The sequence below is a fragment of the Homo sapiens genome, chromosome 20 (genome assembly GCF_000001405.40).
Source record: "Homo sapiens chromosome 20, GRCh38.p14 Primary Assembly".
In the NCBI taxonomy this organism is placed as follows: Eukaryota; Metazoa; Chordata; class Mammalia; order Primates; family Hominidae; genus Homo; species Homo sapiens.
The window spans coordinates 22,347,457-22,364,713 of NC_000020.11; positions in this window are offsets into that span (position 1 = coordinate 22,347,457).

The window sequence follows — 17,257 nt, forward strand, 5'->3', positions numbered from 1 at the left end:
TATTGGAAAAGCAAACTCACAGACCCCAGACCTGGTAAACCAGCAATCTGCATTTTAACAGAGGCCCAAGTGATCTGAATAGACACTCACGTCTGAGAGCAGTGCCTTGAAAAGCTTTGCCAGAATGCTGTGAAGCATAAGCCGTATGACTTGATCTGTGGTCCGTTAGAATTCACAGGATAACTTTTCCAAAGTCTTAAATTAGAGGATTTCAGAATTAAAAGGACCTTCCCTCAACCTCTTTAATGCATGAGTTCCCTGAGAGTGGCCCCACTGGAAGACTCTGGTGTCACATCAGAGGAGTTTGTCCTCTGGGAAGAGTTTTTCAACAGTGCTTCCGTGGGGCGAGAAGGAACATGCTTCCTCTTAATTTCCACTCGCCTGTACATTATACACATTACAGAGCCACTCAGAGAAAAGATTAAGCTTCTTTCTCTGCAAAGGATTTTTGGAACACTGAAACGACCTGCATGCCTGATCCTATATCCAATTTCTTCCCAAAGAGCTCTAGTAGGTTCAGAATCACACCCTTAAGGAAGAGTATCCACAGAGTGGCCCTGGACCTACCTCTCTGCTGGAGAGGCCACATGAAACTGTATCAATATGCAAAGATGCTGGTCCTTTCACACTTTTCTGATGAACTCGGGTGTTATTAAAATTATGGGTATTTGCTTATTTCCCAGGCAGTCCCATGGAGAGCTGAGGCTGGCTAGACACTGGGACTGACTGTTGTTATCTATGCCTGTTGTCCACGTGACAGCCAGGGCTAAAGACAAGACTTTCTGTCTCTATCAACAGCCAGAGTAAATCCTCATGAAACAATATTCGGTACTAGAGATACCAGCTGCAGCAGAAAATATACAGATCATAGGCACTGAACTCCAACAAGACACAATCTAGTCCAGAGATAGGCCGCAGGAGTGCAAATATCAGTTTATCACTTAAACTTGTTTGATGTTCTTGGCAGTAGTTCTAAGCACTGAGGAAGTAAGTCTAAATGGTCTTCAGGCAGCCAAGTTAAAGAGTATCCTCAATAATCCAATAATCTAATAATAATAACCACCTAGTGCATCCTTCCTCTGTGCCTGATTCATTCATGGCATTTTATGTTATCTTTTGTGAGTATATGACTAACTTCACTGTGCAGATGAGGCAGCTGAACCTCAGAGAGGCTGTTAGTTGCCTAAGTTTATGCAGCCAGTAAGTCACTTTGTAGATTCAAATGCTTCTATACCACTATAACATTTATAATAGCTATGATATTAACTAGTCCTGAAGAGGTTAACTTATGTTCAATATGATCTAATTGAAATGGCAGAGAAGTATGTAGAATATTTTAGAAGTATTTCCACTAGAATAGTAAAAATAATTTACTCTTTAGTGTTTTCTGGCAATGCAATGTAATGAAGATTTTTTGTAGGCAACTGGGAGCAAGAGTGACTTTAAATTCTGGCTCCACCAATTACTAGCTTTGTAAACTTGAGCAAATTACCTAACCCCCTGCACCTCAGTCTGGCATCTACAGAGTGGACTTAATAATCCAACTTTGGAGTGCCATGGAGGCACTGATGATAAACTGTGTTTGGAGCATAAAACACCTAGAAATGCATCTAGCACAGGGCAAGATGGAAAATTAAATTCGTGAGATAGTGATTAAAGAATGTGTTAATCTGGAAAGATTCTAAGGCATAGATATGCTAAAAATATATTCATATTCTGGGCAAGAAAATACAGCCAGTGTGGAGCACGGGGTTGGGGACTGTAGGTTTCTCATACTACTTCCATCACTGCAGAGTCATCAATAAGTTGAATTTGAAGGCTGGGGTAGAATCAGTAATCATTTTGGGAAAGGCAGGAGGCTCCGTGTTTAGAATATCATGAACCAAAGCTCCAGGATGAATAAGAAAAAAGAGCTGAAAAGAACAGTAAATGAATGTGGAAAACTTAGTGTGAGAATGAGAACATGGTATACGCAGGGAATGGGAGGTTGGCTTTTCGGCTACACAACATGGGTCGGCAGATGTTTTCTGTAAAGGGCCAAAGAGGAAATTGTTAGGTTCTGTGGGTCATACTGTCTGTGTCCCAACCGCTCAACTCTGCTGTTGTAGCAGAAAGGTAGCAATAGACAATCTATAACTGAATACATGGATGTGTTCCAGTGAAACTTTAGTTACACCAGGGGCCACAATTTTTCCACCTCTGCTATAGCTGATAGATTTAAAAACTAACTTGGAATGTCACCATGAAGAAATTCTCTAAATACAAAGGATCCCAAGAAAGCTATTAAGACCCTGAAATCCAGTCCCAAAAAATTTATAGGAAGAGATAATTATTTTTGGCATAAAAAATACATCTGTCTTACTATCTTCGAAATGACTCTGAGAAAAATATATTGAGCAGGGAAGTGTTTTTTTTTTTTATTCCATGTCTGAAAATATACCTCAAACAGAAAATTCAGATGTGTTAAAATGCTATTTCATCCAAACAGAGGCAGCAGTTTGGAGAAATAAAAAGACTCTGGAGCCAGAAGCTGCTGCTGAACAGAGAGGTTTATGTTTCAAGGGAGTGGAAATCAGGCTGTACCCTGAGTGTTGGCTTGGGCTGGCAACGGATTGCCCACTCACTAGGAGCTGGGCTTCCCAAGGAAGGGACAAGCACAAGGAAACCTTCTTTTCCTCTGCAGAGAAGGAAGCTGGGCACCTAAGCGGTTTCATGATTCCATGACTGGCTCATTGAGAATTTATTGGATGGATTTCACTCATAAAGTTTCTTTTATGGAATTCTAAGGGATTTGCTGGAAGAGATTTCTATGTGAAGGTCAAAAGGAGTAAATTATTTAGCTTCCAGAAGAGGCAGTGGTTACTATTCACAGACTGAACAGCGACAGGGAGAACTTTTTTCTGTAAACTCCATGAGGGGAGGGATAAAGACTCCGTTGCTCACCCTTGCCTCTCCATCCTATGGTTCAGAGCCATGAAGAGCAGACACTGCTGAATATGGGGGAGCTGTTTTTCACCATTCAGCGATATTTCTGCCTCTTTGCATAGCCAGTGAAATGGCTGGGCTGTTGACTGAAAGGATGGATGAACATTGCAAATCTTATCATTTCTATTCCTTGTATCCTCAGAAAAGAAGTGTTGTCCAATGACGAATGCTTGGTCTTAGAGTCTGGCCAGAACACAGAGGAAGAGGCCGCTCGGAGGACAGAGTGAGCTGCCCAGGTGGCCCACTGGCATCAGGGGCTGTTCTGTATGAAGCTGTTTGAAAACTTTTCACAAGGTCCTGCTCCTTCAGAAGAGGGTGCATATGATCTTATCTGCCCATAAATCTCAGAAGTTTTACAGGCAAAATCTATAGTAGGTGGTTAACTCTACACATTGCCCTGCCCACTCACAGGGATAAATAGAAAGTCCTGTATCCAAGTCGGGGAAAATACTAAGCTTCAATCCGGAAGTTTAGGGCTAGTTCTTTTAACTAAGTTGTTCTTTGTTCTTCAAAATCTACAATCTATTTTTAACTGAAGTTAAAATATATTTTAGGTATTCAAGATTAGAAGGTATCTAAACTTTGAGCTTTTGATTTCCATTTAACTGTTTGCTTTCCACAAACATGTGATGACATGATTATGCTGTAGAATCCAGCTATTTCTTAGTTCTTCTCTAAAATGCTATAAATTTGTGTTTCTTCACTGAATTGTCCCCATTTTGTATTAGACGTGTATTCTATGAGAGAAAAATTCATAAAGGCAAATATTTGCCATTTTCTTTTTTATAATACTTTTTCTATATCATTTATTTTTTTATTCTTTTAGCTAAAGGAAGTAAACACCGTTTCATTTTATATCTACAATTATCTTATTTTTCAAATAGAATATAAGGATTTTTAAAAATACTACTGAATCTGATTAGTAACTGTATAACGTATTTTCTGTATATTTTGACTGTGAGTCAATTTGAAAGCAGCAATTTAAAACCCACTTGAATGCTTAGTTTAGCCTAAACAACGACTACAACATAAGAACAATTCTACAATCAAATTAGTAGTCAAATAACCAACGGCAAGTGGAAAATTGGTCATCGTGTTATTCTTCTATAACCTAATTCAAAATGCAACATTTAAAAATGTAAATCTCTCTTTTCAATGTTAAAGAAGCATCGATGAATATTTCTATGAGTAGGAAAATATTTATTAAAATAGTGGCCACATATTGGGACTGATCTTAGTCTTTTAACCGTCAACTCTTGGAAGAGACATCTGGGCCGGTTGGAGCCCAGGGGCAATGGAAAATAGAATGCGAAATACCAGCCATCTGTGATTGGCCCTTACAAAGAGGAGGAAACATAGTCCCAATGCCATCCACTTACAGACCTAGAGAAGAAAGTCATTGATCAAGTATTTCATTGGAGAAAAGTTGTCACAAATATGTTGATTAATGGAGACTAATTTATTTGATATGGAAGTTTGTTTTTCCCCCCTTTTTTGATGATGTTCGTCTTGATGAAGTTCTAGCTGTTCATTTTTAATGAGAAATGGTTAAAAGTTAAACTAACTTGTCTTACGTCTCCTCACATTTTTTTTCTGTCTACCTTCACTTCTTCAATTCTATGCAGTCTTAACTGAGCCAATTTGTACATATTTTCCATGGTGATATCAAATCCACAGAAGAATTAATAACTATGGAATTTTAGAAGCCTTGCAAAATAGAGCAAGTGAGCTGAGGGTGACCTCTGGAACTTCCATGTAAGGCTTAACTTGGGCTCATGGCCTGGAATGAACCAGCTCATAATGTGACACTTTTATAACCTAATAAACATGACTCCTAGGAACAAGTTCCAATCACATCAAACAAAAAGCTGTATATGGGGTTTCGGAAGTCCTACTTTCTGATCCCACAACTATCATATCTAAATTTTTAAACTGGACGAGTCACTCGATCTCCATGAGGCAAATCTCCCTTCCCTGTTACATGAGAGTTTAACTCACAGCACCTAGGTCACCTCTAGCACAAAAATATTATGATCCTAAACCTTATTCCTAATTGAGATCTGGATGGAGGGTGTTCCAAATCCACCAAATTCAGGAAATTATGTGAATTTCTTTGTAAAACAGTGAAGTCTGCCTGATTAACTATGATTCTCATTCATTTCCACCATTACCTACTTTGATAGCTAAATTTGTTTGTACCTTGAGAAGTCTTTTTCCACCTAAAGTTCTTTCTCTTGGAGGGCTAGAGAGAAAGTGAGGTCCAGTTCTCTGGGAGTTAAATTCCGTTTACGAAACAGCAATCTCTCTAGGAGTCATACTTCTCAGGACTATTCCATTTTCTCAAAGCACGTATGCACAATTTGAAAATGTCTGAAGTCACAGTTTCGATGGTTGTTTCCACAAGGAGAGCTATGGCCTATGAAATAAATGTCTGAGTCAGATTGGAAGAGAAAATGGAGAATGATGATTGACAAATATACTGATTTTGGAATAACACTTATTCTCTGCCTTCATGTCCAGGTCAATATTAGAATAATAATAATACTTTTCTTCATAATTTTGGAGGTATTAAATGTGCAATGTACGTGAAGACTTAAAAAAGTAAGGTGACAAGAATTCCTAGTTGTTATAATGTAGTCATCCCTCAGCTCAGGTCCTGGGCTACAGTTTTTGCTTAGACACTTTTGGTGACTATAGGAAGCTGCAAGTTCTTTGTGGTATATTTGCAGAATATATTTACAACTTTTGAAACTGGAATTACTTCATGATATCCATCAGTAGACAACCTTGTGAAGTAGATAAGACAGCTATTATAATTTCTGTTTAACAAGTCAAATTTCTATTTAACCAGTTAAATTTCCATTTCACAATGGAGATTCAAAGGGGTTAAGTGACTTGCCTAAAGTCACAGATCTGGTGGCAGTAGGACCAGAGGTAGATTCTAGAATTATGCTTCTCATTAAACCTCTTCTCTCTCATTTTTTGTATTTCTTCGCAAGGGCTTCAAACATCATTTCGTGAGTGTTTGAAGATTGACCTAGGGTCTTCATGATTACTCATCAGAGGCCCCTGCTGATCTTTTTACTGAAGTTTATATAAGAGAGAAATTTTAAAATCATTTCTTATTTACTTTTAAATATATTAGCAGTGACCCTGTGCTATCCAGATGAGTATAGGTGGTTTTCATCTTCATCTTGGGTTGGTTGCTGAACATGCACGTGCCCAGATCTGGAGGCACACTGCAGCATGGCTGGTTAGCTTTCACAAGGCTTCAGCTCAAAGTTCATGCTCCAGCTAAGGGAGCCTTGGTTCTCTCAGTTGGCGCTAAAATTTTGCTTCCCAAATTTGAATGTGCAGATGAATCATCTGGAGATCTTGTAAATTATGACTCAGCATGTCTGGGATGAGGTCTGCAATTCTGTATTTCTAACAAGTCCCAGGTGACATGGATGTCATAGGTCTGAAGACCAAATTTTGAGTTTCATGTTAGATATGTCATTAATCATAGGGATATCACAATTAGTGTTTCTCTGATAAAATAAATGGTGTTCAATAAACATCTAGCATTGCTTGACTGGGGTACAAGAATCTGGCAGGGCTTAGAGCTGAATTCTCTTCCCAATAGACATGAGACCTCATATTCTAGGGAGCTCTGTGTTCAGCTACATAGTATAGAATTCCAGCACCACACAGAATATGTGGAAGGAAGCAGAGGTCTCCTTAGTGAGATATACATATTATTATTGATAATATAATAATAATAATAGCTTCATTTTCTTGAGAACTTGCCAAGTGCTAAGAACATATTAACTCACTTCATTCAGCAGCTGAGACACAGAAAGTCTCAGTACCATGTTATGTGTGACAACCAGCATGAAAGAATAACAAATATATATATATATTGGTCTCTTTCCCCAGTTCCTGACACAAGGCTCCAAAACCCTTATAATTTCCCAGGCAACAGGAGTGCTAGAAGCATCTTTTGTATTAGTATTTGGTCTTTAGCCTGATTCCTGACACAGAGCTCCTAAATCCCTTAGAACTTCCTGCATGCATGATAGGAGCATCTTTTTTTCTAATGAGTTGACTCTTGGTGGACTTCCAGATGGGGGCTGGTCACCAGACAGACTACACCATGCTTAGAAGCTTTGAAGTTTCAGCTTCATTTCCCATTCTCCATGAAGGGGAGAGGAGTTAAAGATTGAGTTAATAATCATACTTATGTGATGAAGCCTCCATAAAAATCCCTGTAAGACTGGATCCATGTACCAGTAGGGTGGCATACCCCAACTCCACAGTGACAGAAACTCTTGTACTTGAGACCCTTTGGACCTTGCCTTATGTACCTTTTTATCTGGTTATTCATCTGTATCCTTTATCAGATCCTTTACTTTATTACGTAATAAACCAGTAAGGGTAAGTGTTTCCCTGAGTTCTGTGAGCCATTCTAGCAAATGATTGAACATGAGAATTGGGTTGTGGAAGCCTCTGATTTGTAGCTCAGTCAGACAGAAGTTGTGAGTAACCTGAAAACCCACCACTTGTGATTGGCAGGCAGTCTTGTGGGCCTGAGCCCTTAAACTGTGGAGTCTGTGCTAACTCCAGGTAGTTAATGTCAGAAGTTATAGTGCTGAAAGATAAAAGTGTCAACCAAGAATTCTATACCTGGAAAAACTGTCCTCCAAAAATGAGAGGGGGATTAAGATAGCCCAAATTAACAAAAGCTGAGGGAGTTTGCTACGACTAGACCCATTGCACAACAAATGCTAAAGAGAGTCTTTCAGGTTGAAATGAAAAAACAGTAGGTAGTAACAGAAAAGCATATGAAAATATAAATATCTCCACTAAAGTAAATACATGGACAAATATAATAACCAGTATTATCGTAATGTTGTTTATAACCCCATGCTTTATTTCCTGCAAGATTTAAAAGACAAATGAACCAGAATAATTATAAATGTATGTTAATGGGCAGCCAATATATAAAGATGTAATTTATGACATTCATAACATAAATTAATGTTGTTAATTGATCTGTGAATGGGTACAGTTTTTTTTAATTCAATTGAAATTAAGTAGGCATAAATTTAACACAGATTATTATAACTTTAAGATGTTAAGTGTAATCCATATTATGACTACAAGGAAAATATCTATAAAATATAGACAAAAAGAAATGAAGAGAAAATCAAAACATGCCACCACAGAAAAATAACAAAGAAACTGGATTTAAACTTGACATTTGAACAACTGGACATAATAGACACCTACAAAACACCCGACAATCACAGAATATACATTTTTCTCATCTATACATGGAACATATTTGAAAACCAACTACATGTTTTGTCAAAAAACAAGTCTCAGTAAATTTTAAAAAATGAAATAATACCAAACATGCTCTTGGATGACATTGAAATAAAAACAGAAATCAATATAAGATCTGTCAAAACTACATAATACCTGGAAATTAAACAACTTGAGGATCTTTTGTATTTCTGTATATTGCTCCTGAGTAACTCCTGGGTGAACATTAAATTAAGGCAGAAATCAAAATTAATGTTGAAATTAACAAAAATAGAAACACAACTTACCAAAATCTCTGGGTAGCAGCTTACACAGTATTAAAGGTAAGTTTATAGTCCTAAAGACCTTCATCAAGAAGTTAGAAAAATCTTAAATTAATATCTGACTTTGCACCTAAAGGAACTAGAAAAAAAAATCCAACTCCCAAGCTGGCAAAAGAAAAGACATAACTAAAATTAGAGAAGAACTGAACAAATTGAGATGCAAAAATTAATATAATACAAAAGATTACTGAAACCAAGAGTTGGTTTTTCAAAAAAATAAACAAGATTGATAGACCACTAGTAAGAATAACAAAGAAAAAAAGAGAGAAGACCTAAGTAGTACATTCAGAAATGACGAAAATGACTTTACAATTGATCCCACAGAAATACAAAAGATCCTCGGATAATGCTATGAATAACTCTATGCACACAAATTAGAACATCTAGAAGAAATAGATAAATTCCTGGAAACAGAAAATCTCCCAAGATTGAATCAGGAAGAGATAGAAACCCCAAATAGACCAATATCAAACTATGAAATTAAACCAATAATAAAAACCTACCAACCAAAATAGAAGGACCAGATGTATTCACAGCCAAATTCTACCAGACATATAAAGGAGAACTAGTACCAATGCTACTGAAACTATTCCCAAAAATTAACGAGGAGAGACTCCTCCCTAACTCATTCTATGAAGCCAGAATCAGCCTGATACCAAAATCTGGCAGAGACACACAAAAAAAGGAAACTTCAGGCTAATATCCCTGATGAACAGAGACACAAAAATCCTTAACAAAATACTAACACATTGAATCCAGCAATGTGCAAATAGCCAAATAGTCTTAGGTTGAAGCAAAAGTAATTGCAGTTTTTGCCACAAAACCGCAAATACTTTTGCATCAACCTAATAAATACACCATAATTAAGTAGGCTTTATTCCTTAGATTCAAGGCTGATTCAATCTATGCAAATCAATAAGTGTGATTCGCCATATAAACCATACAAACAGAATTTAAAACAAAATTCATATGATCACCTTAATAGACACAGAAAAAGGTTTTGATAAAATCCAACATCACTTCATGATAAAAACCCTCAGCAGACTAGGCATTGAACACACGTACCTCAAAATAATGAGAGCCATCTATGACAGACCCATAGCCAACATCACACTGAATGGACAAAAGCTGGAAGCATCCCCCTTGAGAACTGCAACAAGGCAAGACGCCCAGTCTCACCGCTTCTATTCAACATATTACTGGAAGTCCTAGCCAGAACGATCAGACAAAATAAAAATATAAAAGGCATCCAAATAGGAAAAGAGGAAATCAAATTATCTCTCTTTGCCAATAATATAATTCTATACTTAGAAAACCCTAAACTTTCCACCAAAAGGCTACCAGAACTAATCAATGATTTTAGCAAGGTTTCAGGATACAAACTCAGTATACAAAAATCGGTAACATTTCTATACACCAATAATGTGCAGGCTGAAAGTGAAATCAAAAACACAAACCCATGTATAATAGCCAGAAAGAAAATAAAATACATAGGCATACAGCTAACCAAAGAGGTGAAAGACCTCTACAAAGAGAACTACAAAACATCGCTGAGAGAAATCAGAGACAACACAAATAAATGAAAAAAAATCCATGCTCATGGATTGGAAGAATCAATATCATTAAAATTACCATGCTGCCCAAAGCGATTTATATATTCAATGCTGTTGCTATCAAACAACCAACATCATTTTTCAAAGAAAACTATTCTAAAATTCATATGGAGATGAAAAAGAGCCCAAACAGCCAAAGCAATCCTAAACAAAAGGAACAAAGCTAGGGTCATCATACTACCCAACTTCAAACTACACTATAAGGCTACAGTGACTAAAACAGCATGATACTGGTCCAAAAATTAAAAAAAAAAAAAAAAACAGACACATAGACCAATGGAATAGAATAGAAAACTCTCAGGAAAAAAAGTTGCACATCTGTAAGCATCTGATCTTCAACAGAGCCAACAAAAACAAGCAATGGGGAAAGGACATCCTAATTAATAAATGGTGCTGGGATGGCTGGCTAGCCACATGCAGAAGAGTGAAATTGGACCCTTACCTTTTGCCATATACAATAATCAACCTGAGTTGAATTAAATATTTAAATATAAGAATTCAAGCTATAAAAATTCTATAAGAAAACCTAGGAAATACCTTTGTCAACACTGGCCTTGGCAAAGAATTCTTGACTATGTCACCAAAAGCAGTTGCAACAAAAACAAAAATTGACAAGTGAGACCTAATTAAACTAGAGAGCTTCTGCACAGCAAAAGAAACTATCAATAGACTAAACAGATAACCTACAGAATGGGAGAAGTATTTACAAACTAATATCTGTCAAAGGTCTAATATCCAGTATCTATAAGAAACTTAAATCAACAAGCAAAACACAAACAACCCCGCTCAAATATGAGCAAAGATATCTGGGCATGGTGGCTCGCGCCTGTAATCCCAGCACTTTGGGAGGCCGATTTGGGCAGATCACAAGGTCTGGAGTTGGAGACCAGCCTGGCCAACATGGTGAAACTTCGTCTCTACTAAAAATAAAAAATTAGCTGAGTGTGGTGGCAGGCACCTGTAATCCTGGCTACTCAGGAGGCTGAGAGAGGAGAATCACTTGAACCCGGGAGGTGGAGGTTGCAGTGAGCCAAGATCGTGCCATTGCACTCCAGCCTAAGCGACAAGAGCAAGATTCCGTCAAAAAAAAAAAAAAAAAAAGCAAAGACTATGAACAGACACTTCTCAAAAGAAGACATACAAGCAGCTAACAAACATGTGAAAATATGCTCATTATCACTAATCATTAGAGAAATTGAAGTCAAAACCACAATAAGATACCATCTCACACTAGTCAGAATGGCTATTATTAAAATGTCCAAAAACAACAGATGCTGATGAGGCTATGGAGAAAAGGGATCAGTTACCTAATGTTGGTGTAAATATAAATTAGTTCTGCCACTGCAGAAAACAGTTTGGAGATTTCTCAAATAACTTAAATAGCTTCCATACGACCCAGCAATTCCATTCTATAAATGTTCCCATTTCTAGAACAATTCTATAAATTGTTCTATCATAAAGACACATGCACACATATGTCCATCACAGCACTATTCACAGAAGTGAAGACATGGAATCAATATGCATGCCTGTTGACAATAGACTGGATAAGGAAAAGATGGTACATATATATCACTGAACACTACACAGTCACAAAAAAAAGAATGAAATCGTGCCCTTTGCTGCAACATGGATGCTGCTGGAGATCATAATTCTAAGTGAATTAATGCAGGAAAAGAAAAACAAATACTACATATTATCACTTATAAATGGCAGCTAAATATTGAGCACACATGGACATAAACACGGGAACAATAGGCATTGCAGACTACTAGATGGGAGAGGGAGGAAGAGAGGTATAGGTTGAAAAAATACCTATTGGGTACTATGTTCACTATCTGGGTGCATTATACTCATGTAAACACCCTGTACATGTACCCCTTGTATCTAGAATAAAAGTTTAAATTTAAAGGAAACAACATGCCACCATACATGCACACACACACACAAAAAACTAAACACAAAAGAAGGCAGTAATAAAGGAAATGAGAGAGAAGGCATATAGAAAAAATAATAAAATTACAAAAAAAGTACATGTAGGCATATAAAGTAATTATTAATAGGTATGTACTTATTTTTTGTAATTTGGCATATATATTATATTTGTAGGCATATAAAGTAATTATTAATAGGCAGAATGGATGTTTTAAAATGGGATTCAATTATATGATGCTTACAAGAAACTCACCTTTAGATAGAACACACTGGTTGAAAATGAAAAGATGAAATAAGATATTTCATGCATATAATAATCAAAATCTAACAAGATTGACTTATACTAATATTAGACAAAATAAACTTCATGTCAAAAACTGTAATGAGGCAAATAAAGAGGTCATATAGTAATAAAAGGGCCAATTCTTCAAAAAGTTATAACCATTGTAAACATATATATACCAAACACCAGTGCTCTAACATATCTAAAGCAAACACAATTCGAAGTATAAGTGGAAACCTCTACAATAACAGTAGGAAACTTTAATACCCTATTATAAGTAATTGAGAGAAAAAACAAATAGAAGATTAATAAAGAAACAGAGGACATAAACAACACAATAGATTAATTGGATCTAACAGATACGTATAAAGCAGTCCACCCAACAACAGCAGTATACAATTTTTTTCTCCAATGCACATCAAATATTCACATGATAGGCTATTTGTTAGGTCACAAAACAAGTCTTAACAAATTTTAAAAGATTAAAATTATACAAAGTATCTTAACAAATTTTAAAAGACTAAAATTATACAAAGTATCTTTTCCGATCCCAGTGGTATAAAATTAGAAATCAATAACAGGAGGAAAACTCACAAATATATGGAAATTAAACAATACACTCTTAAATAACCAATGGTTCAAAGAAGACGTCACAAGGGAAATTAGGAACTATCTTTTCTAATAAAAATTAAATTGGAAACACAACAGCAAATTTGTAGCTGTAAATACTTATGTTAAAAAAGAAAAAGATCTCCAATCAACAACCTAACTTTACACCCTACCTAATTATAACAAAAGAATGAATTAAGCCTAGCTATAAGAGGGAAGAAAATAATAAAGAGTATAACAGAGATAAAATATAGAAGAGAAAAATGATAGAAAAAATAATAAAACAAAGATATTAAAAATATCGACCAAATTGACAAACCTTTAGCTAAATTGTGTAAGAAAAAAGGAGAAAAGATTCAAATAACTAAAATCAGAAATGAAAATGGGCACATTACTAATTATTTTAGAGAAATAAAAAGAATTTCAAGAAAGTAGTAAGAAAAATTGTATACTAACAAATTTAATAACCATCTCATAATAAACAAATTTCTAGAAACAACAACCTATTAAGACTGTATCATGAAGAAATAGAAAACCTACATAAACCTTTAACTAGTAAGAGGATTGGATCAGTAATCAAAAACTTCCCGCAAAAGAAAAGTCCTGGACAAGATTACTTCTATCTGGTAAATGTTATCAAACATTTAAAGATTTAACACCAATCCTCAGAGAACACTCTCTATCCCATTCTATGAGACTGGTATTACCTGGCACCAAATCTAGACAAGGACACTAAAGAAAAGAAAACCACAAGCCAATATCCCTTATAAACACTGGTGCAAGGCTGGGCGCAGTGCTCCTGCCTGTAATCCAAGCACTTTGGGAGGCCGAGGTGGGCAGATCCTGAGGTCAGGAATTCGAGACCAGCCTGGCCAATATGGTGAAAACCCTGTCTCTACTAAAAATACAAAAATTAGCCTGGCGTGGTGGCAGGCGCCTGTAATCCCAGCTACTCAGGAGGCTGAGGCAGGAGAATCACTTGAACCTGGGGGGTGGAGGTTGCAGTGAGCCAAGATCATGCCATTGCACTCCAGCCTGGGCAATAGAGTGAGACTCCATCTCAAAAAACAAACAAACAAACAAAAAACTGATGCAAAATTTCTCCATAAAATATTACCAAACTAAATTCAACAGCTTATCAAGAAGATAATACACCATGACCAAGTGGGATTTATTCCTGGAATGCAACAGTTTTACAACACATGGAAATCAGTCAAGTAATACACCACTTTGATGGAATGGAAGAAAAAAACACATGATCATCTCAATGCAGAAAAATTATTTGATAAAATTCAACACCCATTCATGATAAAAAGCACTTAACAAACTAGGGATGAAATGAAAGTACCTTAACGTAATAAAGTTCCTGTATGTAAAACCCACAATTGACATCATACTCAATGGTGAAACGCTGGAAGTTGTTCAAGATCAAGAACAGGACAAAGATATCCATTTTTGCTGCTTCTATTCTACATATATATTGAAAATTATAGCCAGAGCAATTAGGATAGAAAAAGAAATTAAAGTCATCCAAAACAGAGAGGAACAAATAAAATTATCTCTGTTCACGGATGACTTGATATTATATGTAGAAAACCCTAATGATTCCATAAATAAATAAATAAATACCTGGTAGAACTAATAACCAAACTTAGCAAATTAGGAGTGCACAAAATCAACATACAAAAATAAATTATGTTTCTATATACTAACAGTGAATAATATGAACACAAAATTAAGAAAACAATTCCATCTACAATAACATCAAAATGGATAAAATACTTAGAAATAAACAAAACTAAGAAGACGAAAGACTTGTACACTGAAAAATACAAAATGTTCCTGGAAATTAAGAAATTAAGGAAGACACAAATAAATGGAAGACATCCCATGTTCATGGATTAGAAGATGTAATATTGTTAAAATGTCAATATTATTTAAAGTAATTTAAATAATGTCATGTCTTTCAAATTTCCAACACTGCTTTTTGCACAGGTTAAAAAAAATTCACCCTAAAACCCATATGAAATCTCAAGGACTCCCAAGTAGCCACAACAATTTTGAAAAAGCAGAAGAGGGCTCACACTTCCTGATTAATACAAAGCTAAGGTAATTAAAATAGGCTGTGTTGACAAAAAGACAAGACATATAGACTAATAGAATAGAATAAAGATCTCAAAAATAAATCTTTGCATATATGGTCTTTAAATAAGGGTGTCAAGGCTATGTAATAGAAAAAAAATAGGCTTTTCAAAAGGTGGTATTGAAAAAACTGGATATCTATGTGCAAAAAAATTAACTGGGACCCTTACCATATACAAAAATTCACTTAAGATGGGTGAAAAACCTAAATGGTTTTTGGTAAGTAAGACCAAAACTTTTAACAAAAAATGTAGGAGAAATTTTTCATGACATGGGATTTGGCAGTGGTTATTTAGATACAACACCAAAAGCATCAGTAACAAAATTAAAAATAGATAAATTGGATTGACTTAAAATTAGAAACTTTTGTGCATGAAAAGACGCCATCAACAGAGTGAAAAGGCAATTATAAAATAATGCAAAATGCTTGCAAGTTGTATACCTGATAAAAAATTAATATCCAGAATATATAAAGAATTCCTACAACTCAACAATATCAACAAAACAAACAAATTAAAAAATTGGCAAAGAACTTGAGTAGATATTTCCAAAGAAGATATACAGATGGCCAACAAGCAGTTGAAAAGATGTTCAACATTGCTTATCATTAGGAAAATGCAAATCAAAATTATGAGATTTCATTTCCTGATTTCAAGCTTAGTACAAAACTACAGTAAAAGAAAACAGTGCTACATTGACATAAAGACAGACATGTAGACTAATGAAATAGAGTACAGACTTTAGAAATAAATCCTTGTATATATGGTCTTTCAATATGGTATCAAGACTATTCAATAGGAAAAAATAGTCTTTTCAAAAGGTGGTATTGGGAAAACTGGATATCTTTGTGCAAAAGAATAAAATTGGACCCTTATCATATACAAAACTTCACTTAAAATGGATTGAAAACCATATATAAGACTCAAAGCTACCAAACTTTTAGAAGAAAGTGTAAGGAAAATTTTTCATGACATTGGACTTCACATTCATTAGCATGGCCAGCATAAAACACACACATGCACACACACATGCACACCCACCCCCACACACACACACAGAGAAAGAGAAAGGGAGAAAATAACAAGTGTCAGGAAAACCGTGAATAAATTAGAACCCTTGAACACTGCTAGTGGAAATGTAAAATGGTGCCACCACTGTGGAAAACAGTATAATAGTTCCTGAAAAAGTTAAACATAGAAGTACTATGCAATTCAGAAATTCCACTTCTGGGTACACACTCAAATGAATTGAAAGCAGGTACTTGAACAGATATTTGTACACCAATGTTAATAGCAGAATTATTAACAATAAACAAAAGATGGAAGCAACCCAAATGTTTATTGACAGATGAATTTATAAAGAAAATATGGTATACACATACAATGGAATATTATTCAGCCTTAAAAAGGAAGAAAATTCTGGCACATACCACAACATGGATGAACCTTGAAAACATTACACTATGTGAAATAAACCAGACACGACAGGACAAATATTGTATGGTGCTACTCATACAAAGTACCTAAGGTAGTCAAATATGGAGATGGACAATAGAATGGTGGTTGCCAGGGGCTGTGAATAGAGGAAACAGGGAGTGAGTTTAATGGGTGCGGAATTTTAGCTTGAGAAGATAAAAAAATTCTGGTGATGGATAATGTTGATGGTTGTACAACAATGTGAATGTGCTTAATGCCACAGAGCTGTACACTTAAAAATAGTTAAAATGTTAAGTTTTAGTTCTGTACCTTTTACAACAATTTTAAAAAGAGAAAAAACTTACTGTGAGTGAAATGCCTAGTATTCACAAATTCAACCTCCCTTCCCAAGGACAAGGTAATTAAAGAAAAATTAAACCAGTACATCTTACGTGTGACTCACAAGTGAAACAGAATTCTCTCTCCTTGTACACTCCTCTTTTCACTTTATTTAATTCAGCTTCTGATCGTGTCCAGTGCATTGTGAACTCTTTGAGCCCAGTGTGGTAAGGTGAGCATGCTGCGGGCCAAGAGTTGCCACCCCATCCTCCCACTGCATTGAATCCCCCAAGCTCTGAGGATTTT